The sequence below is a fragment of the Homo sapiens genome, chromosome 8 (genome assembly GCF_000001405.40).
Source record: "Homo sapiens chromosome 8, GRCh38.p14 Primary Assembly".
Lineage (NCBI taxonomy): Eukaryota > Metazoa > Chordata > Mammalia > Primates > Hominidae > Homo > Homo sapiens.
The window spans coordinates 144,844,053-144,866,206 of NC_000008.11; the positions used below are offsets into that span (position 1 = coordinate 144,844,053).

At 51.5% G+C, this 22,154-nt stretch overlaps 2 protein-coding genes across 15 annotated transcripts in view, besides 5 other annotated features; one reads left to right on the forward strand and one right to left on the reverse strand.

Moving 5' to 3' along the window:
* Positions 1-3,456, forward strand: part of ZNF7 (zinc finger protein 7) — a 19,949-nt gene extending 16,493 nt beyond the window's left edge. For all 4 annotated transcript variants that reach the window (XM_047422206.1, XM_017013816.3, NM_001330623.1 and 1 more), the window contains exon 5: positions 1,927-3,456. In XM_047422206.1, coding sequence (XP_047278162.1) covers positions 1,927-2,126 — 200 coding nt within the window. In that variant the 3' untranslated portion in view covers positions 2,127-3,456. The remainder of the gene's footprint in view (positions 1-1,926) is intronic.
* Positions 1-9,504, reverse strand: part of COMMD5 (COMM domain containing 5) — a 15,579-nt gene extending 6,075 nt beyond the window's left edge. For 2 of the 11 annotated variants that reach the window (XR_002956629.2, XR_002956628.2), the window contains exons 1-2: positions 9,320-9,504; positions 6,496-7,343 (exon numbers count right to left, since the gene is read on the reverse strand). Coding sequence is in view for 4 of the 11 variants with exons in the window: in NM_001081003.3 (NP_001074472.1) it covers positions 6,612-7,286 (675 nt within the window). In the remaining 7 variants the exon portion in view is untranslated. Of the gene's footprint in view, positions 1-6,123; positions 7,344-8,327; positions 8,997-9,319 lie in introns of those variants that run through there. The other 9 variants (XR_007060730.1, XR_928321.4, XR_007060731.1 and 6 more) reach the window with 7 other exon arrangements.
* Positions 6,853-7,004: a silencer, noted in NCBI's record as "fragment chr8:146076290-146076441 (GRCh37/hg19 assembly coordinates)". NCBI's record gives its function as "represses an EF-1alpha promoter that drives an FKBP-Casp9 reporter gene in an ReSE screen in phorbol 12-myristate 13-acetate-treated (for megakaryocytic differentiation) K562 erythroleukemia cells {active_cell/tissue: K562(+PMA)}" and the evidence as "EXISTENCE:reporter gene assay evidence [ECO:0000049][PMID:32094911]".
* Positions 8,211-9,059: an enhancer, noted in NCBI's record as "H3K27ac hESC enhancer chr8:146077648-146078496 (GRCh37/hg19 assembly coordinates)". NCBI's record gives its function as "activates a minimal SCP1, AML or CMV promoter by ChIP-STARR-seq in naive H9 embryonic stem cells {active_cell/tissue: H9 hESC(naive)}" and the evidence as "EXISTENCE:reporter gene assay evidence [ECO:0000049][PMID:30033119]".
* Positions 8,637-8,966: an enhancer, noted in NCBI's record as "active region_28106". NCBI's record gives its function as "activates an Ori minimal core promoter by ATAC-STARR-seq in GM12878 lymphoblastoid cells {active_cell/tissue: GM12878}" and the evidence as "EXISTENCE:reporter gene assay evidence [ECO:0000049][PMID:35858748]".
* Positions 9,037-9,226: a silencer, noted in NCBI's record as "silent region_19714". NCBI's record gives its function as "represses an Ori minimal core promoter by ATAC-STARR-seq in GM12878 lymphoblastoid cells {active_cell/tissue: GM12878}" and the evidence as "EXISTENCE:reporter gene assay evidence [ECO:0000049][PMID:35858748]".
* Positions 9,517-9,616: an enhancer, noted in NCBI's record as "active region_28107". NCBI's record gives its function as "activates an Ori minimal core promoter by ATAC-STARR-seq in GM12878 lymphoblastoid cells {active_cell/tissue: GM12878}" and the evidence as "EXISTENCE:reporter gene assay evidence [ECO:0000049][PMID:35858748]".

A 22,154-nucleotide genomic window follows, 5' to 3' on the forward strand; every position in this document is an offset into this window, starting at 1 on the left:
AGGCACAGAAGCAAGGTGTCACAGCAAGGTTCTGAGGTCACACTTGTGTCCCAGGGGCTTGCTGTGTGACCTAGGACATCATTGCCCTCCCTGAAACTCAGAGCCTTATTTGTGTATCTGAAAACATGCACTGTGAGAGGGTACTGAGAGGAAACAATGTAGAGAAACATGCCTTACTGGGCCTGTCAGAGAACGAGCACTCAAGCAAATGCAAGTACCAACCCCCCCATCCATGCCAGCATCTCCAGCACACCCGTGTGCGCACAGGCCCTGAGGCTGATGACTGTCTTGTACTGGCCTAGTTGCCCCACTTTTTTTTGGTAGGGGGGAACGCGGTGAGGAGGAAATAAAGACAGTGGAGAAAAAGACGAAAATGGGCCGGGCGTGGTGGCTCACGCCTGTAATCCCAGCACTTTGGGAGGTCGAGGTGGGTGGATCATGAGGTCAGGAGATGAAGACCATCCTGGCTAACACAGTGAAACCCCGTGTCTACTAAAAATACAAAAAATTAGCCGGGCGTGGTGGCGGGCACCTGTAGTCTCAGCTACTTGGGAGGCTAGGCAGGAAAATGGTGTGAACCTGGGAGGCAGAGCTTGCAGTGAGCCAAGATCACGCCACTGCACTCCAGCCTGGGTGACAAGAGTGTGACTCTGTATCAAAAAAAAAAAAAAAAAAAAAAAAAAACGAAAATGGGATGGAAAGAAGGTGGTTGGGAAACAAATATGGGGAGAAGAACCTGAGAAGGGGTGATGAGAGGGAGTGGGGAAAGAAGATACTGGGAAGAAAAGATGGTTGAGTGAAGAACTTGGGGTGAGAGTGGGTTAGGAAGAAGGTGGAGAGGGAGTGGGGAAAGAGGACTCTGGGGAGAACTTAGGGAGAGGAAGTGGGGAAAAACGATGGTAGGGAAAAGAACTTGAGCTGCAGTGGGGGTAGACCAGCAGACCACAGGGTGAAAGGACAGATGGGAGGAGAAACAGGGGCAGGGTCAGGGAGGAGAACCCCAATTGCCTTACTTTACAGGGGAGGCCACACAGGTCTGGATGTAATTTATGGTGCGGGACAGCTTTCCTTAAAACTCAGCCTGAAAGACTGCCAAGAACTGAGGGTCTGAGATTTCATTCTTTGTAGAAGCTCACGAGAAATCCTGTGGCCATTCCACCTAGGAGGGGACGGCAGGCAGAATACTCACTGTGGTTGTCAGGGCCCTATCAGTTCCTTTTGCCCACCATTCCCATGACGCAGAGGCCCAGCAGGTGCAGGCACAGCTGAGAAACTCGGAGGTGAGGAGTGAGCCTGCTCTGTTGGGAGCTGGGGGGCCATTACCTCACCCCTCAGTTTTTTTTTTGCTGCTGACACAACCTTGAGAAGTGGCCCAGGTGGAGCACGGTGGGGTTCTTGGCACATGCAGGAACATGGAGGGAGGCGTGGCTGATGGCAGGTGGCTTGCTCAAGGCCTGATGCTTTTTTGCTGAAATTGAATTTTCACGTGAATCTGCTGCTCAACCCTAATCTAACAGGCTGGGACCTTGTCCATTTGATTTTCTCACACAGCATCTAATTAAGGCTGATATTCACAGGCATGAGGCCAACTGTAAGACCTCAACCCTGTCTCCACAGTCCTTGTCATTCAGGGGGAACCTGGAACTCCTGACTGGTGACCTCCCACCTGCCTCTTCAGGGGCTCCTCCCGGTGTACAAGGGTGATGGTGCTCTCCACAGCCATGGAGTCAGTGCATCCACTGTAACTGCCTCTTCTCCAGCCATGCCCTACTCACACCGGAACTTCTGTGCACGTGGAGTATGTGTGCAGTGTCCCTGCCTTGCGTCACGTGGCTGCTGAGAAGGGTCTTGGCAGGTAATGTGCTTAGCCAGGTGGTCACCTTCAGGTCTAGCACAGGGGTTGCTGTTGCTTTTTCTCTACTTCAGGCTTTCTGGGCCGCCCAACCATGGGACAAGAGCCAAGGCACCCACATGCACCGCCTGCAACTCCTGTTCCTGGCCTTCCAAAACACTGCTCACAAAGACTGACCCTGCCTCCTCCTGGGCTCTCGTCATCTCCTCTTGGCCACTTCCTGGTTCATGATCAGGACAGAAGGAGGGGAACGTCAGCCATATGGATGGTCTGAAAATTCCAGATTCTGTGCTAACCATAATGCTGTGTTCTTTTCACTAACAGCAACCAGCCAAAAAGGGGCTGGGGTGCAAGCTTCATTCTGCTTCAGCACCTGGATTCTCTCTGGATTGACATGGTCCTAAGTCAGGGGCTGGCAAACCATTCGTAGCTTTTTACATTTCTGAATGGTTGGGGAGAAAATAAGAGACTTGTGACATTTGAAAACTATGTTAAAATCGAATTTGACTGTGCACAGTGTCCCTGGGCTTGGTGATGCCCAAGCGTCTTCATGGAGCCTCTGGCGGCTTTCTTGCTGCAGCAGTGTTTACCACACCAGCCAAGTCACCTTGAACTTGGAAAATGACTTCATGCCCTCCAGCCACTGAAGGATTATTTTTCCTCTCAGCCCTTAGTGGTTTCTTTACCTAAATGTCACGGTACAACTGAGAATAAGGCAGCTGGGTCAGTTCAATAGAAGTAAACCTAAAGTCCAACAATCCAGGTTAGATATTAGCCACGGAGGGATGGGAGGAGGAGTCTTCTTTTTTTTTGAGACGGAATCTCGCTCTGTCCCTCAGGCTGAAGTGCAGTGGTGCGGTCTCGGCTCACTGCAAGCTCCGCCACCTGGGTTCACGCCATTCTCCTGCCTCAGCCTCCCGAGTAGCTGGGACTACAGGTGCCTGCTACCACGCCCGGCTAATTTTTTTGTATTTTTAATAGAGACGGGGTTTCACTGTGTTAGCCAGCTGGTCTCGATCTTCTGACCTCGTGATCCGCCCGCCTCGGCCTCCCTAAGTGCTGGGATGACAGGCGTGAGCCACCATGCCGAGCTGAGGAGGAGTCCTCTTCTAGCTGCACGATGTGGAAATGACACATCATGTCCATGGGGCAGCTTGCTGAGAGCCAAGGGTGTGAGCACATGACTTAAATTCAAGCTACTGCACAGCTTTGAGATCTGAGTATCACATGGAAGCATCCAGGTGGCCCCTGGCACACAGGCTGGTGGTTCTTTTGTGGAGAGGGAGAGGAAGAGGGGCTGCTCATGGGGTAGTGCAGGTGCTAGAATATCCTGTTAACCTGTTCACACTGCACTGCAATTCGGGCTTCGGTAAGCTCATCTAAAGAGTTTCCAGGCCAGGCACGGTGGCTCACGCCTGTAATTCCAGCACTTTGAGAGGCCAAGGAAGGATCACGTGACCCCAGGAGTTCGGAGACCACAGTGAGCTGTGATCGCACCACTGCACTCTAGCCTGGGTGACAGAGTGAGGCCCTGTCTCCACAATATATAAATAAAAACATTTTGGGTTTCTGTTTTGGAGACAATAAATTAAATCTATAACCTAGGCCTGGAATTGCTTTTTATCTCAACTATCAGAATAATCTTTCATTTATGACACTGAATTGAAACTATCTGGACCTTTCTGGAAGCTTCACAAAGTGAAGCAGAGCAAGGGCCGGGTCCAGGCCATTTTATAAATCCTCAAGTCCCCAGTGCATGCAGCTTGACTCAGAGCCCCAGAAATGTTTGCTGAATGAGTGAGTGATGCAGGTGGGGAGGCATCCAGGCTTTGAGCTCAGGACAGTGCCACAGGAGAGGGAAATCACCAGCAAGTTTCCACAGAGAACTAAGGCCAAGAAAACCAAGGGAGTAATTTCCCAGATGCAGACATCCGTTCTCTGTGCAAGGCCTTGTGCAAGCCACGGGGACAAAGATGGACAGGGCTGGCCTCTGCCCTGGAGTCCAGGTCTAATGGAGACTGGCCACTGACAAGGATGGACAGGTGCTCTGTACTGGAGGGGTCCAGTGGGCTCATGGGGTTGGCGCCAACCATGCCTGGACTAAGAATGGTTTTTCAATGGAAAAAAATACTTTGTGACACATGAAATTAAAATTTCATGGCTGGGTGTGGTGGCTCATTGCTGTAAAACCAGCACTTTGGGAGGCCGAGGTGGGCAGATCACCAGAGCCCAGGAATTCAAGACCAGCCTGGGCAACGTGGCAAAACCCCATCTCTACAAAAAATCTGAAAATTAGCCGGGTGTGGTGTGGTGTGCCTGTGAGCCCAGGAGGTTGAGGCTACAGTGAGCCATGATCGTGCCATTGCATTCCAGACTGGATGATGGGGAGACCTTGTCTCAAAAAAAAAGGAAAATTTCAATATCCATTAAAAAAATATCATTGGAGGCCAGGCTCGGTGGCTCATGCCTGTAATCCCAGCTGCCTGGGAGGCTGAGACATGAGAATTGCTTGAACCTGGGAGGCAGAGGTTGCAATGAGTCGAGATCGTGCCACTGCACACCAGCCTGGGCAACAGGAGTGAAACTCCCGTCTCAAAAAAAAAAAAAGATGGTATTGGAACACAGCCATATACATTTGTTTACGTATTGTGTGACTGCTTTCAAGCCACCATGGCAGGGTGGACAGAAACTTCATGGCCCACAAAATCTAAAATGTTTACTCTCTGGCCCTTTGTGGGAAGAGTTTGCTCACTGCTGAGTCAGAGGAAGTGGCCTCTAAGTCTGCTCCACGCTGTAGGGATCTCAAGTCCAACTGGATCATGTCTGCCCTGATTAAAACCCCACTGCTCCCCCTTGCCCCAGTGGAATGACCAAAATCCTGTGTGTGGCCTTGAGGCCAGCCGCTGTCCCTGCACTTGATCCCCCATCCCTCAATCCCCTATACTCGGGCAGTGCCAGCCCCAGTCCCAGGAATGGCCCACTCCCCTGCCTGTGTCTCATAAGCTGTCTTTTCATGGCTGTGTCTTGATTTGCCTGGGTCCCCGCTTGAGACAAGCCCAAGGGTTCACAGATGAATTGAGGCAAACACAGATTCCCAATGAGAGACGGCGAGAGGTCAGCCTGAGGACCGAGGGCAGGTCCATGCTCTGGGCTCCACACAGGCTTTGCTAAGCAGCTGGGAGAAGCAGAAGGATGGGGCTGTCCCTAAAGCTGCTGTTCCTGCAGGGCCAGGGCCAGTGAGTGAGAAAGGCAACATGGTCCCAGCTGCCCCAGCCCCATCCACATCTGGGGACAGAGAATGCAGGAAGTGGCTGGTCATATTCCTGATCCGATGACAGTGGGGGGACAGTGCCTTCGGGGAGAGAGAAGGGCTTTACCTGGAACTCAGTGAGGGTGGGACAAAGCTGAGTGATCGACCAGATGGCAGGACCCACAAGCATGCACCTTAGAGGGCACCTGGGCTCCTCCCAGAGTCTACTGACCCCACCCCCAGGTACTCCTCTGTACCCTGACATGTCAGAACTGCCCATGGAGGGATGAGGAAGAAATCCAGGCTAGTGGAGGAGACAACCCAAAAACTGCAGACAAGACAAACAGCCAAGCAACCCCAGGCACTCAAAGACAAGGGGAGGTTTCTCAGCAGAGAACAGACTAGACATGGTCCAGAAGTGCTCCACGGAGGCAGGAACAGTCAGCTGGAAGCCAGCTGACCGAAAATGGCTCTGCAGAGACCGAGCACCAAGGCCCCTCCTGGAACACAGTTATGCTGGAAGCTGCAAAGCTGGCTACAACCCCTGCACACACCTGCCCTAGAGGCACCCGGGAGAGGTCCCTGCCACCAACTCCACCCTGGTGACAGCCTCTCTGCTGGGCTCTAGCCTCCTCCCTTGCACCCCTCCACACAGCAGCCAATCACCAGATCACGTCTCTCCTCTGCTGAAAACCCTCAGAAGGGCTCCTCTGTCACTCAGAATTGAGCCAAAGTCCTTAAAAGGCTCTCAGGCCTTGACCTCTGTACCCTCCCCAACGTCGCCTCCCCACAATGATCTCCACCTGCTTGGCTGCAGCCAGGCGGGCCTTAAGCACGTCAGGCCTCCCCACACTGGCCGCCTGAGCCCCGTCCTCCCCACCTTGTGCTGCTCCCCTCAGAGCGCTGTGCCCCCGGCTCCTTCAAGTCCTCGCTCAGATGTCACACCCTCAAGGAAGGTCGCCCCATCAGCACGCAGACCCCACCCTACTTGCTGCATCACACGCCATCCTCTGATGAGCTATTCCAGTTAATTTTTATGATTTATTTTACAATGTTTCCCCTCCCCTCAGCCGCACTAGAATGTCAGCTCCATGGGGTCAGGGATTTAAGGCAGAAGAGTGAAAATGCCCAACCTAAAACACAAGATCTACAAAAGCACCTGGCTACATGGGGCCAGGCTGAGCAACTGTATGTTGTCTACAAAGGGCCTCAACCTGGCCTCACATGGCCACGTCCAGCACCAAAGACAAATGTACAGGGAAGGGGAGGGTGTGAGGTCCAACACTCACCTATAGAAACATGTTTTTAGCTGCTTTACTTCCAAAAAGAAAAAAAGGCATAGCTCTCTTTTTCAATTAAACAGAAAACTACATAATTACGTTCAAACACTCACTGAAGAGCCTGCCTCATGGGAAGGGCAGGGCTGTCGTGGGAAGAGTCAGCTGCACTTTGGCACCATCTCAGGTGCCTGTCCAAGCCGGATCTGAATGGGACTGGTCAAGTGAGGGGTCAGTCCTGCAGTCTGCGCTCACACCTCTTCTCCAGATCTGCCATCTCCTTTAGGACCAGGGCCACGCTGTACCGCAGCTCCTGGAACTTGGCTGTGGGGACCTCAAAGCGGTATGCTGACCCATCTGAAAGCTTCAGCTGCATCAGGACGCTCGGCTGCAGGGAGCGAGCCAGGGCACTGGTGGAGATTGCTACATCCACCCGCCACCGAAAGTCAGCAACATGCGGCAGCCAGGCCCCCTGCTGCTGGGCCACAGAATCAAGGAGGGGCCGCTGGCTCCCAAATACCACGCTGGCCAAGTCCCCGACCAGGTCTTGGGGGATGCAGAGCTCCTGGAGCTGGTCCCTGAAGGTGTCAGGCTTCAGGCTGGTGGGGGGCAGACGGAGGGCCTGCTGGAGCAGTGTGTGCATGCCTGCCAGCAGGGCACCCAGCTGCTCCTCCGGCAGGTTGGCGCTGACCCCAAGACGCTGCACAGCCTCTCGGCAGTCCTCCCCCTGCAGGCTGCTGACCACAAACTTCAGCAACTTTCTGAACGTGCTCCTGTCTAGGTCCCCTAGTAGCCGGGCCATTGCTGCCACCTCTGGAGGAAGCTGGGCCCCCAAGAAACTCACTCGGCCACTGTGACTATCACCAGGATGATGCAGGTATGGAGTTGCAGCCCCCACAGCAGACATTGCTGCTGCTTCCTCTTTGATCAGCCAGCCCAGGAGGTCGGTCCCAGATGCAGATGCCTAGAGTGGGGTGGAGGAGAGAAGACCAGTGACTCTCACATCCTTTGGGCCAGCGAGTGAGGGTTGATATGGTCCCCATCATCAGCATGCTGACAGTGTGAACTACCAATGACAGTCAGTGCTGCGGAGATGGCCCTGGAAGCAGGTGGCAGAGGGGTCCATGTCAGTCCCAGGAGGAGCGGAGGCCTCCCAGAGGAAGTGACATCTAAGGCATGAAGGACAAGCAGGAATTGGCAGAGAAGTAGGGGGCAGGGAGGAGGACCAGGAAACAGCACAAGTTCTCCAAGTAAATTAATAGATGAAAGAATGAACTAGGGGAACGGTCCGGGGAACACAGGGACACTGCAGCTGGCGCCACAGACCACACTGAGACCATTTAACTATTCAATCTTGAATCCTTCACAACAGTGGGCAAGAAGAATTACCATTCTCACCTGACAGAGAGGGAGATAAGGCTCTAGGCCAGGTGCAGTGGCTCAAGCCTGAAATCTCAGCACTTTGTGAAGGTGAGGCCAGCGGATCGCTTGAGCCCAGGAGTTGGAGACCAACCTGGGCATCATAGCAAGACCCCGTTTCTACAAAAAATTTAAAAAACTAGCCAGGCGTGGTGGTGCACGTCTGTAGTCCCAGCTACTCAGAAGGCTGAGAGGACAGAGGATCCCTTGAGCCCAGGAAGTCGTGGCTGCAGTGAGACGAAATCGAGCCGCTGCACTCCAGCCTGGACAACAGAGATGCTGTGAGGAAGGAAGGAAGGAACGAACGAATGGAGGGAGGGGGGAGGGAGGGGAGGCAGGGAAGAAGAAAAGAAAAGTAAAAAGAAATCAAAGCTCTAAACACAGCTGCCAAAGTCAAGGACTGAAGCCTAGACCTGTCTATTCAGAAGTCCCAGCTGTTTCCACCACAGCCCCAACCCCCGGGCTGGAAGAGCTGAGCAACGGCTGGCAACAGAGGCAAGTGCGGCAACTAAAGAGGGTTCCGACGCACCTGAAGGAGCAGTGCAGCAGCACAAGCACCTGCTATGCCAGAGGAAACGCACGTGCCCACCTCAGCACACCAGGTACTGGAGCAGAGCTCAGCGGGGCACAGCTCCTGTCCTCGAGGCACTTGTCAGGCCACTCTGCACAGCGCTGGGGGAGCCCAGGAGCTCCCCACGGGCTTCACGGCGCCCCATTCTCCCTGGGAGTCAACGACCACCCACTGCCAACTCCTTCACCGTCCCGCCAGCACCAGGAGCTCCTTCCCACTCCAAAGAGCCATCCGGGAAGGCCTCCGAGCTGCCCGCTTCCGGTCGCGCGGCTTGGAAGGCCGGGTTCGCACCCTGACTCCGTACCCGCGGCTCTGATGGGGGCGCGGCGTCGCCCGTTCCGGGGCGCGGGGACCTTGGTGCACAGAGTCAAATTGGCACTCGGCCGTCGCCGCCCCCACGGTTCGGGGCCAACCTACCGGCGGGCGCTCCTCCGCGGAAAAGCCCCGCAGTATCCAGAGCTCTCCGAACACAGCGGCGAAGCAGCCTTTCCTAGGCCCACACCCCCAGCTCGGGAGGGAGACTCCATCCTACTCCACCCCACGCTCCCGCTGTCCGAGTCGCCCCCAGCACCTGGCGCCGGCAATCCCCGGCTGATGCAGCCAAAAGCGGGCCTGGTCCCCGGAAGCGCCCTGAGAGCCACTTCCGGGCCGCTCTAGGAAGGCAGCAATGACCGCCCCACTGTGGTCCGCTGGCCCGAGGGGCGGAGCCGAGGCCGCGCCAGGTCCCGCCCCCTCCCCGCCCGGGGGAATCGGGGGTCGCCGGCGGGGTCCCAGACCTCGTCTTAGACAGTTTTTTTTTTTTCTTTCCCCAAAGAAAAAGAAGGCGGTGTTGTGTTTCCGTTTCTGAGGTAGAAACTGCGGCCTGCGCCCGCGTCTCCCTCCCCGCCCGCGCAGAGTGAGGGTAAAGCGGGAGAACGCGTCCCGTGGTCTGGGGTCAGAATTCCAGTCACCTGAGGCTGAGGAGCTCGCTGGCTTTCGTCGGCGTCCGGGTGGGCGGCGGGGAAACCGCGAGACCTTGAGGATCAGCGCGGAGCGGAGCCGAGCGGGCGTCCCTGTCCCGTGTGGACGGTCTGCGCCTCCAGGGTTTTGAGAGCTGCCCCGTTTCCCCTCCTGTCGGGTGGCGTCCGGCGCGCGTGACTCGGTTCCGCTTTGGGCTGCTCTGTTGGGCCCTAGCGCAGGAGCTCGGTCCGAAACAATGGCCGAGCCATTTTATTTAACATGTACTTTACCATAGTTAAAAAATAATATGCCAAAATCATTGAATTGTACAAAATGGGTGAATTATATGGTATGTGAATTATAGCCCAATAAAACTTAAAAAAAAAAAAAAAACTCTGAAAAGGGAAACAACCTAATTAAATGGGCAGAAGATGTGAGTAGACATCAAGGAAGATACAAAGTGGGTAATGGGTACATGAAGCCTTCGGCATTGTTGGCTATTAGAGAAATGCGAATGGAAGCCACGGGGAGGTGCCATTTCATACCATTAGAAGGGTTATAATAAAAATGACAGGTTGGGTGCGGTGGCTCACGCCTGTAATCCCAGCACTTTGGGAGGCGGAGGTGGACAACCAGATCTCAGGAGAACTCTATCATGAGACCATAACTTAAGGGCATGGTACTAAACCATTCATGAAAAGCCACCCCCACGATCCAATCACTTCCCACCAGTCTCCACCTCCAGCATTGGGTATTACCTTTCAGCATGAGGTTTGGGCGGGGACACAGATGCAAACCACATCAGCCATACAATGGAATAGTGTTCAATAATAAATAGGAGTGGAGACTGGGTGCAGTGGCTCATGCCTACAATCCCAGTACTTTATGAGGACTAGGTGGGAGGACCACTTGAGGCTAGGAGTTCAAGACCAGCCTGGGCGACATATCAAGGCTTCATTTTTACAAAATTAAAAAAAAAAACAGGTGTGGTGGTGTGCACCTATAGCAGGGGTCCCCAACCCTCAGGCTGTGGACCGCTACAGGTCAGTGGCCTGTTAGGAACTGACCTCACAGCAGGAGGTGAGGGCAACCTATAGTCCCAGCTATTTGAGAGGCAGAGTGAGGACCACTTCAGTTCAGGAATTTGAGACCAGCCTGGGGAACATGGCAAGACTCCATTTCTAAGACAAAACAAATCAAGTCTAAAAACCATGCTGAGGGAGGATTGTTTAAAGGGAATGGATCTGGGAAGTTTAGAAAGAGACTGCATCTGTAAGGTGTTATTTCTCTTTAAAATATCTGAAGCAAAAAGGTGAAGTGCTATCACTTGTGAGGTCTGGGCGGTGGTTACGTGGCAGACCCACCCCCTCCTGAAGTGAGGAGAGCCAGGAACCTGGGGGTGAGTTTTGGAGACAGTTCCCACCCAAAGGCCAGAGTGCCTGGAGTGCCTGGAGAACTCTCATCTTATTGTAGCAGGATGAGCCACAGACAAAACTTCTCAGACACTGGGTTAAAGAAGGAAGGGGTTTTATTTGGCTGGGAGCTTTGGCAGACTTGTGTCTTAAGAGCTGAGCTCCTCGAAAAAGAAATTACTGGCCCTTTTAAGGGCTTACAACCCTAAAGGGTCCACGTGAAAGGGTTATTATGATAGACTGGGAAAGCATGGAGAACATGACTGGAGGCTACAAGCATCAGCTAACAGAACAGAAAGTTTTACAATGCTTTCTTATACAATGTCTGGAATTTACAGATAACACAAGTAGTTTAGGTTAGGGGTTGATATTATTAACACCAGGGCCAGGTGATGGCACCAAGGTCATCTGGCTATTTATCTTCTGTTTCTTTCTCACTTTTTGTTTTCTCCCATTTCTCCTGTCTTATAAACTAGGCAAGACAGGGGGAGAGGAGGGCAGTAGGAGAAGTGGTGGTCTCCTTCCTTACTATGATCAACATTTGTAAGTTAATTTAGCTTGAAACAATTTCAAGCTTAGATAAAAGGTTGCATGAATAGTGCACCTTCCCAGAGACCCCCATTCAAGGGTCACCAGGTGTCCCTGCAATGTCTCTGAAGGAAAGGAGCCTGTTGCCTGGCAAGAGTGGTGTCATCTCGAAGCAAAATCACTGTGGTGGCCGATGTTAGACTCCTGCATACCAAGGTCTTCACACAAGGCCTGTAGCATTGATAACCCCTCAGAAAGATGCTACCTAACTTCCCCAGCAGTCATGAATTTTGCAAGAAAGTCTAAGACATCACCAGCTGCACATGTTTTTACCAAAAAGCTTGCTATATAAAGGATGCTTTCTGGGGGGCAGGTGCAGGGATCCACTGTCTTGTGGCTGCCCGAGATACTACTTTGTTCATAAGTTTCTAGTAAATGTTTCTTTTGGAGAAACTCCATTTGTCAGCCTCTTTTTTCAGCCTCTCAGCTCCCTTGGCCTTTGGGGGTAGGTTTGTGTGACCTGCTTACTGCGGAGCAATCCCTCAGAGCATCAGGAATCGGCCGAGGGTCACAAGTTGCACCCACTTGTCCTGTTTCTTGTCTCCTTCAGTCTAGAACAGCCTCTCCATCTCCTGGACTTTCAGGACCCTGAAGTTTAATGTTTATATGCAGTCCTTTTGGAAATTTTTTCTCAAATTATCATCATTCTCTTGGTCAAGGCAGTGACTGAGCCTGCCCAGATTCAAGAAGACATTGAAGATATTGCTCCTGCTCTCAAAGGGAGGGAGGCCAAAGAACCTGTGGCATCCTCAGTCAGCCACAGCAGCCACCATGGTGGTAACTCAGGCAAGAAGCACCAATACCTGTGAAAGCCAGGTGTCTCCAGGGCATGAGGCTCAGGATGTTTACACAGTGTCAAAACATCACCATGCAATGTAATTATTATTAATTACAAAGGGGAATAAGGTAACTTCACAGGAGACAAACCAGGCAAACAGCACCCTGGTCAAATGATCTAAGACAAAACCACAAGTAATGGCACAAACCAATGTCATTCTCCAACTGTCAGCTGCGGTGGGAAGGCATCACCGCAGAGCTGCCTGAGACACTTCCACCCAAACTTCTCTCCACTTGGTGTCAAGCTTGAAGCCATCTGATGGCCCCTCCATCTTCCTGGTTACCTCACTATTTTCTACCCCAGACATTTCTCTGAACACGACGTTTGTATCCTTAATCTTGGTGTCTTCTTCTTGGAGGACCCAGACCAACACAAATGGGCCAGAAGCAGCTTGAGAAAACTGGTGATCAGATGGACATTTGGGATTGGCCCACCCACTGTCTGCAGGTGAAGAGGGTGCTGTTCTGGTTAGGAGGTGGGGCACTGACGGTCCCTGGCACAAGGTGGTGGCTTCACTGCTAAGCTTTCCCTCATGACCTGACAAAATGTCTCAGCAGAAGGGAGTCTGTGCAAGGGACAATGATGCAAGCATTTGAAAGGTGCAAGGATGGCCACGCAGGCCCCAGGATCCCAGAGCAAGTCTGCACCACCTGCAGCAGAGAATAGAACACTTGTCCATGGGACCCCCAAATGGCCCTGCATCCACACTTCCCAGTGTGAGCTGAGCTCTGTCAGGCCTCCCCAGGCATGAAGTCAGGCAGCCCAGCAGCATCCATCAGAAGGTGGCAATGGCATGGCCAGGACGGCGTCCATGCAGGGCCAGAGTGCCAGAGTGAGCTGAGGGAGCAGGCAGTCTAGCCCACATGCCTCCCTCAGCTCAAGCCTATGGCTGCAGAGGGTTCCTGCGTGGCTGAAGGAGTTTGATTTGTAGATGGATGGGTTCAGTGCATGGCACACATAAAATGCAGCTCAAGCCTACAGCTGCAGAGGGTTCCTGTGTGGCTGAAGGAGTGTGATTTGCAGATGGATGGGCTCACTGCATGGCACACAGCAGCTGTGTTACTGCCACTTTCAAGGGTGGGAAGGAAAACCTTCCCAGTGGGCAGAACTGCAGGCGGCATGCCCGGTCACCCCACCATCTGCAAGCAGAAGTGGCCTGAGGTGAGAATGCCCAGACTTCTGGGCAGTGGCCTTGTGTCCCCACCTTCTGGGGGGGCCAGAAGGAAAAGGAGCCTGCAGACCAGGTCTGGGCTGAGGCAGTGGTGAACACAAAGGAGGGGCACAGAGTGGGGAGGTGTTCGCACATATCAGTGCCCACCAAGGCATCCAGCACACATGAGGCACGGAACAACCAAGCAGACAAAATAACTCACCAGTGGACACCAGTCCTCACTGTCAGCCACTCTGGAACATGAAAGGGGTGACCCTGGTGACAAAAATAAAGACTCCATATGGAAGACCTCCTTCACCCTGGGTCTCACGCTGCCAGGCGCAGTGACTCGTGTCTGTAATCCCAGCACATTGGGAGGCCGAGGCAGGAGGAGCATGAACTCCCTTACCAGGGCCTGTCTGGCAGCTGCCACCTCTGGATGTCCAAATTGTCCATAACAGAGTTGATGCCATGCCCTTTCTATCCTGGAAAGGCTGGCAGTTTTTTCTCACACAGATGGATGCCTATTTCAGGTACCAGCTGGCCTTTCCTACAGAGCCTCAGCCCACACCATTGTCTGGGGCTTAGGTTGCTTCATTCAGAGGCATGAATCCTCACACAGCGGCATCCTAATGGGACCCACCTGTATTGTAGCAGCCAGCCTCATGCAACTCTGCACTGGCCTTCTAGAGGCTCAGCTGAAGCAGCAGCTTGGATGCTCTGCTCTGAAAGGATGGCACCATCCTTTGGGATGCCATGCATTAATTTGGATACTTTTTATGGTGCTGTGTTCCCAACAGAAAGAACACATGAGTCTGGGAAACTAAGATTTGAAGCAGGAGTGGCCCAATTCACCCAGACTCTCCCATAACCTACTGGGAGATTTTGTGTTTCCTCTCTACATGGTTCTAGACTTTGTAGGGTTGGAGGTCCAGTTCCCCAGGAGCACACAGCAAGGATCCCACTGAATAAGCTACAGTTGCTACAAGGACATTTGAGCTTCTCAAACCCAGGGACCCACCGAGGTCCACTGTGTTGACAGTTGAGGTAATTTCAGGATGAGTAATGAACAGAAAAGAAGAGAACATTTCAGCCCTGAGACCAGTTCCAGTGATGAAGACTGTAGCTAATCCAACTAACCACTTCCTTCTGAGTTTCTTTTCAGGAAGAAAGACCCATGGGAACCAGGGTTCTCTGAACTGGTAAGAATTAGAACTGGCTGGGTGTGGTGGCTCACACCTGAAATCCCAGCACTTTGGGAGGCTGAGGCAGGAGGATGGCTTGAGTCCAGGAGTTTGACACCAGCCTGGGCAACATGGCAAAACCCTGTGTCTACAAAAAATACAAAAAAATTAGCCGGGCATGGTGGCACGTGCCTCTAGTCCCAGCTACTTGGGAGGCTGAGGTGGGAGGATTGCTTGAGCCTAGGAGGTGGAGGTTGCAGTGACCTGAGATTGCACCACTGCACTCCAGCCTGGGTGATGTTGGGTTTTGAAGGGAAGATGAGGGTTAAAGAATGACACACACACAGAGACAGAGGGTGGCTTAACAGCAACACAGGTATATTGCAAAAACCTGTGGAGATGGGCGACCAGCTTAGTCCCAGAGCCCATTGCCGCTTACAGGCTGGGGCAATTTATAGGCCTGAGTGGGAGGGGTCGGGGCAGGGGGTCATGGCCTGCTTCCTGGGAAAATGTTGATAATGTGTTCTTAGGATGAGGTGGTTCTGGCCCTTGTTCCGGCAGAATGTGGTGTTCTTTGCACTTTCTCCCAGCAGAATATAAGAGGCAGGCTGTTTCTCACCACCCAAACCCCCGTGGAATGTTTCATTTTGACCAAGGTCTGCGAAATGGTGGGGGACTTACAAAATTGTGCAGGTTGGACTAACATTCTTGCTTTATACTTTTTTTATTTTTTCGAGACAGAGTCTCACTCTGTCGCCCAGGCTGGAATGCAGTGGTGCAATCTTGGCTCATTGCAGCCTCTGCCTCCCGGGTTCAAGCGATTCTCTTGCCTCAGCCTCCTGAGTAGCTGGGACTACAGGTGGCCGCCACCACACCCGGCTAATTTTTGTATTTTCAGTAGAGATGGGGTTTCACCATGTTGGCCAGGCTGGTCTCAAACTCCTGACCTCAAGTGATCTGCCTGCCTCAGCCTCCCAAACTGCTGGGATTACAGGCGTGAGCCACCGCGCCTGGCCACCTTCTACTTTAATATAAAGGGAAGAGCGTGGTTGTTGATTATCTGGCTGCTTCCTGCTGAATAGTGGTGCTGTAATCAGGGTTTGGGTTTTGAAGCAGTGGGTGTCTGACTTCTGAGTTGCTTTCCTGGCGGCGCTGATACTGGACTTGGCGGAGTGGGATGGTATCAGTGTCTTTCTGGGTGGCTGCCTGGACAAGGGAGTTCAGCCTTTGGGAGGTGAAGTGGGATATGAAGGTGAGTACACACAGGCCAACTGTTAGGAAGAAGAAAATTAGGGGCCCTAAGAAGAGGTTACCCAAGGCATCCACTTTAGGAGGGATGACCCCTGCCTCTAAGAGTTAGTGGCTTGATGTTGGATTTCTGCAGACCCGTCTCGGAGCCTGCGGGCTGTGTCTCAAACAGTGCCGTATTCGTGAACATTTAAACAGCCTCCTTCTTAGAGATACACACATGTGCGCCCCTTCTCAGTGGCTGACAGGTCTACGGCCCTTCGGTTCTGGAGAACAACTCCCACAGGGGAACCTACCTGCCTTTGGAGGCTTGTGATGGAAGTAGGCATGTCAAGAGGACTGCAGAGATTTATATATCTATATAAGGCAGCTGAGGCTGATACACCCGACCCGCCATTGTGGTGCCAAGTGCGACAGAGAGGCTTAATCCTGTTACCAGAAGAAGGAGATGTAGAGCTGGCTTAGCGTGCTCGGAGGAGGAGGAAATAGGGAGAGCCTCAATGGTTTGGTTGTTAGGCAAAATGTCAACGTTTGGAGATTGAAACACCAGGGTGTATGTTTGTAACCCACCTGCCGGCAGACAAAGATAAGTTTGTTTCATACAGAAAGAAAAGGGGGGTTGGGGGGGTTGGCAGGCAAAAGTTGTAAGTGAAGGTAGCGAGCTATGAGAAGATCAGGGGTGAATCCTGGACAAAGGTTTTGTTCCAACTTTTTGTTTTTCCAGGTTGAATAGCTGTTAACAAGGGTAACCCCTGTGAGGGCCGGATAGGGGATGTTGGTGGGGGAGGAGGTGAAGGCTGTTTGGTTTTGGAGAGAGACAGAAATAGGTTTTCGTTAACAAGTAGCTACTGCAGTACGGGTAGGGCAGAAGGATATAGGTTGCAGCTGAGGGAATTGTGTGTGCATTTTTTCCAGGGAGCGCCCTTGAGTTGGTTACACGGAGAGCAGTGCTGGCAGAGAGGGGAGGGGTTGATAAGAGGTGTTCTATGGAATCCAACTTGTAACATGTTTAGATGTTAAGAGGCAAAGGAGAGTGACAGCCCTGTGTGTGACGGTGTGGGTGGATATGATGGATTGCGGGGAAAGGTGTTTAGCCGAACAAGATTATAAACAGGTTTTGGGAATGAATTGGCCAAGTAGGTGAGATGCAGGTTTATTTTGGGCCAAGTTTCTGCAGTTAGATTAACAGGAAGGGCTGTGAACTGCTGGATTTGTGTGGACAAACAAATTTACAGTTGGAAGAAAGAGGGGAGTGTGACTGATTTAAGAGAAATGTGTGAGGCTGATGAAGGGGCCCGACTGCCAGAGGTTGGGGGTGAGGACTTAGCATATCCCACAAAGGACAAAATGAAAAAAGGCAATTTGAGTAGGAGTGAAATTCTGAAAGGTACCCTGTAGCCATAGCTCCTGGATTGATGTGAGGAATTCGAGTGGAGTATCCAGGGACGTGGGGAGGGAAAGATCTGAAACAAGGTATGAGATAAAATATTTGAAATTGGAGGCAGAGAGTGTTACGGACCAGGGCCTTCTGGATAGGCAACTTCTGCACCCTTGTTAAGCGCAGTGAGGTTGGTCCTGTGAGGGAGGAAGAATAGTTTTTGTGGGGGGAGAAATTTTCTGGATGTGAATCTGGAGGTTTTTTTAGTTTGGAATTGTGTATCCAGTGTGGGAAGGGTGTTAGCTTTGCTGCCGTGGGAGTAGCTAGAATAACCTGGTGAGGACCCGTCCACTTTGGTAGGAGAGGGGAGGAGGAGGGGTCTGTGATCCAGACCCAGTCCCCCCTGGTTGTAGGGACAGGGAGGAGTGTTTTGAGGATGGACTTTCAGGCGGCGGCAAGTAAGCGTTAGTGTACTGTCTATTAGATGGTGAGTGAGGTGTAATGCTGGCCAAGTACCCCATGCAGAAGGGCGGGGAGATACAGGGAGATTTTGGAGGATAAAGGGGCATCCATACATATGTTCAAATGGGCTTATGCTGAGGGGCTTGTGAGGAATGGCTTATAAATGCATGAGGGCCATGGGGAGTAGTAAAGTTTAGGCCATTTTAACCTCTAGGGAGAGTTTGGATAATTGTTGTTTTAGAAGGGCATTGGACCATTCAATCTTACCTGAAGATGAGGGTCAATAAGGAATATGGAAGGCCCATTTAATGTTTAGAGCCTTTGCCAGCTGTTGGCTAACCTGTGAAACATATGTTGGCCCGTTGTCTGACTGGATGAAAGAGGGGAGTCCAAACCGGGGGATAATATGTGTGAGGAGAATAGAAGCAACAGTGTGGCTTTTCAGTAGTAGTAGTAGTGGTGGTAGGAAACCCCTCTATCCATCCAGTGTATCTACTATTGTCAGAAGGTTCTGGACTCATTTTACAGGGGGCATGCAGGTGAAGGCGATTTCCCAGTCCTGCCCTGGCAGGTGTCCTCAGGCCTGGTGTGTGGGGAAAGGGGGTGATTTGATAGCTTTCTGAGGGGAAGTCTGAGTGCAAAGGGAACATGCCTTAGTAATATCTTTGAGATTGGCAGCCATGGTGGGAGAATGTATATGTTTTTAAGAGCTGAAGTAGGGGGAGGCAACCAGCATGGAAATGGTTGTGCACATATAAAAGTACAGAAGGTTTTTTTTTTTGAGACAGAGTCTTGCTCTGTCACCCAGGCTGGAGTGCAGTGGCACGATCTCGGCTCAATGCATCCTCTCCATCCTGGGTTCAAGCAGTTCTCTGCCTCAGCCTCCTGAGTAGCTGGGATTACAGGCGCCTGCCACCATGTCCGGCTAATTTTTGTATTTTTAGTAGACATGGGGTTTCACCATGTTGGCCAGGCTGGTTTTGAACTCCTGACCTCAGGTGATCCTCCCGCCTCAGCCTCCCAAAATGCTGGGATTACAGGCGTGAGCCACCATGCCCGGCCCAGAAGGTTTTTAAAATTTGGCCAAGACAATTTTAGCACTGAGGTAGAACCATTTTTTCCTGAATGGCACCAGCCAGGGCAAGTGAGGTTTGTTCCTCCTGGGTACATACAGGGTATATGCTGGGAAAACTGGGCAATAATGATGGGGTTTAAGGGCTGCCTGCCGGGCTGCCTAATTTGCTAAAAGATTTCCCTTGGTTATGGCATTTGTAGCCTTTTGGTGTCCCTTACAATGGATAATGGTGGCCTGTAGTGGTAGTTTAGCTGCCTCCACCAGCTTGTGTATGAGTTTGCCATTTACTATGGGGGTTCTTTTTAGCTAGAAATCCCCTTTCCTGCCAGATTAAGGTGTGAGAATGTAGGATGTGGTATGCATATTTGGTATTGGTGTAAATGTTTTTTTTTCCTGTAATGGAGTCTCACTCTGTCACCCAGGCTGGAGTAAGTGGCACAATCTTGGCTCACTGCAACCCCCGCCTCCTGGGTTCAAGCAATTCTCCTGCCTCAGCCTCCAGAGTAGCTGTGACTACAGGTGCCCGCCACCATGCCCAGCTAATTTTTGTATTTTTAGTAGAGATGGGGTTTCACCGTGTTGGCCAGGATGGTCTCGATCTCCCGACCTCGTGATCCGCCCGCCTCGGCCTCCCAAAGTGCTGGGATTACAGGCGTGAGCCACCACGCCGGGCCAGGAATCAGTGTAAAAGTTAACCCTCTTTCCCTTTGTTAGGGTGAGGGCCCTGGTTAGGGCAACCAACTCTATCTGTTGAGAGGTAGTTCTGCCTGTTGCGAGGTAGTATGGGGTGGGAGAGCATTAGATTCTGAGAGTTTATTTTGGCAATGATGTTGTAACCACATGGTGGACATGGCTCCTTTAAAGAGCTTCCGTTAATGAACCATGTAGTTGTTCCCTGCAAAGGGGCTTCTGAAATGTGTTGGAAGGGGGAGGAAAGGGAGTCTAAGAGGTCCAGGCAGGAGTGAGACAGCTCAGAGTCAGAGGTGTTTACAGGGAGGAGAGTGGGAGGGTTGAGAGCTTTACCTTTCTGGAAGGTGATTAGAAGGTTTCCTATGAATAAGGTGTGTACCTGGTGTAAGCAGGATGATGGGAGGGATAGAAGAGATTGATGGCTCATGAGGTCCTGTAGGTTATGGGAAGATGAAATAGTAATGTGTTGGTAGAGAGTGAGTTTCTGTGCCTCCGAGGCCAGCAATGTGGCCGCACCCAAGATTTTTAGGCAGGGTGGCCAGCCTTGGACGACAGTCTGGTTGTTTTGAGGGGTATGCAATGGCTTGTGTTTGGCAGAGCAGTTCAAGAGCAAGGCCTTGTCAGAATGTACATGCAGAGTAAAGGGCTTGGTGGGGTTGGGCAGTCCCAGTTCTGGGGCCATTAAAAGGGTATTTTTTAGTTTTTTTTAAAGTGTGAATTGATGGGACGAGCCGGGTTCAGAGGCTCTAGGCTGGGCCCAAGTGAGGACATGTAGAGCAGCTTGGCCAGCAAACAGAAGTTGGGAATCCACAGCCGGAAGTATCCCATGAGGCCCAAGAAGGACAGGAGGTCCTTCTTTGTGTGGGGAAGGGGCAATGTCTTGAATTAGCTCCTTTTGTTGGGTTAGGATGGCCTGAGAATTAGGGGTTAGAACTCAGGTGAGTGACCTGGGTTTGGGCTACATGAGTCTTTGTTGGTGAGACCCAATATCTTTACCTATGGAGGAAGTTTAAAAGCTGAGTGGTGCGTTGGATGGACAGGTTAAGGGAGGGGCTACAGAAAAGTAGGTCATTGACTTATTGAGGGAGGGTGCTAGGAGCAATGGGAAGTTCAGCTAGGTCCTTGGTGACGGCCTGTCCGAATAGGTGGGGGCTGTCCCAGAACCCCTGTGGGAGTATGGTCCATGTTAGTTGGGTGGACATGTGGGTATTAGGATCTGACCAAGAGAAAGCAAAAATACTTTGGGAAGCCGAATTTAAGGAAATAGTGAAAAAGGTGTCCTTTAAATCCAGTACAGGGAAGTGTGTGGTAGAAGAGGGACTATGGGAGAGTGGAGTATGTGGGATGAGAGTGGAGTGTTGGATGAATTGGTATTACCACCTGGTTAACAACTCAGAGATCCTGGACCAAGTGGTAGGATCTTGAGAATATTAGCTTGTAAAAGTTTACAGATAATAGGTTTGAGGCCCCTGAGGCTGCCTGGGTTAGGGGATATTGAGACTGATGATGGAAAATGGAGTGGTTTTGGAGGGTTATTTTAACTGGGATGTGATGTGTGGCTATTGTGGGTTTAAAAATGTTCCAAATTTCAGAATTAACAGAAGGTAACAGGGTGGATAACGAGGATGAGGGGGAGAGGGAAGCATCTGGTGGCAGAATAAAATAAAAGGAGCGGAATTGCAGGAGGCAGATTGTATGGAGGCCTGGGATTTACTTAGTATGTCCTGCCCCAAGATAGGGGCAGGGCACCGAGGGATAACCAGGAAGGAGTGGGTGAATGGGGTGTTGAATAGGTTGCATAATAGAGGACCAGTCTGTTTGTGCCTAGAGGGGATTCCATCAACTCCCACAATACAGATAGAAGAACTGAGGAGGGGTCCAGAATATTCTAATAAAACTGAGTAACTAGTCCCTGTATCCAATAGGAAAGACATGGGCTTACCAGAGACTGACCCTGGGTTCCGAGGTGGTGATGGCAGTTGGGGTGGTAGGCCCCTGGCCCCATCAGTCTTCAGTTAGAGGTGGTGAAGCGGGATGAAGAGTTTTGCTGAGCACAGTCCCACTTCCAATGTTCCTTGATGCCACAGATGGGGCAAAGTTTTGAGAGTAGGCCTTTGCCCAGTGACTCTGTTGGCTGCACTTAAAACAGGCTTCTGGTAGAGTTTGCTGCAAGGTTGAGGATTTCTGTACATGTTGGGAACCCTGTTGAATGGCAGCTGCCAGCATCTGGCATTTAGCCTGGTCTCTTTTTAGCTTTTGGACTTTTAGTTTTTCCTCTCTATTGTTAAAGACCTTAAAGGCCACTTTGATTAAGTCTTTTTGGGAGGTTTGAGGGCTATTCTCCAGTTTTTTAAGTTTCATTAGAATGTCTGGGGCTGACTGGAAAATGAAGTGTAAATGGAGGTAGATTCTTCCCTTATTGGCATTAGGGTTCAACGTGGCATATTTAGTTATGGCCTTTGAAAGGCAGGAGAAGAAAAGAGCAGGAACAGCTTTATTTATTTATTTTTGAGATGGAGTTTCACTCTTGTTGCCCAGGCTGGAGTGCAATGGCGTGATCTCGACTCACCACAACCTCTGCCTCCTGAGTTCAAGTGATTCTCCTGCCTTAGCCTCCCGGGTAGCTGAGACTCGGACTGGCTCTCCTTGCTCCACAAGCTTGCAGACAGCCTATTGTGGGACCTTATGATTGTGTAAGTTAATACTTATTCCCCTTTATACAGGCATGCACCACCACGCCTAATTTTTTTTTTTTTTTTTTTTTTAGTACAGACGGAGTTTCTCCATGTTGGTCAGGCTGGTCTCGAACTCCTGACCTCAG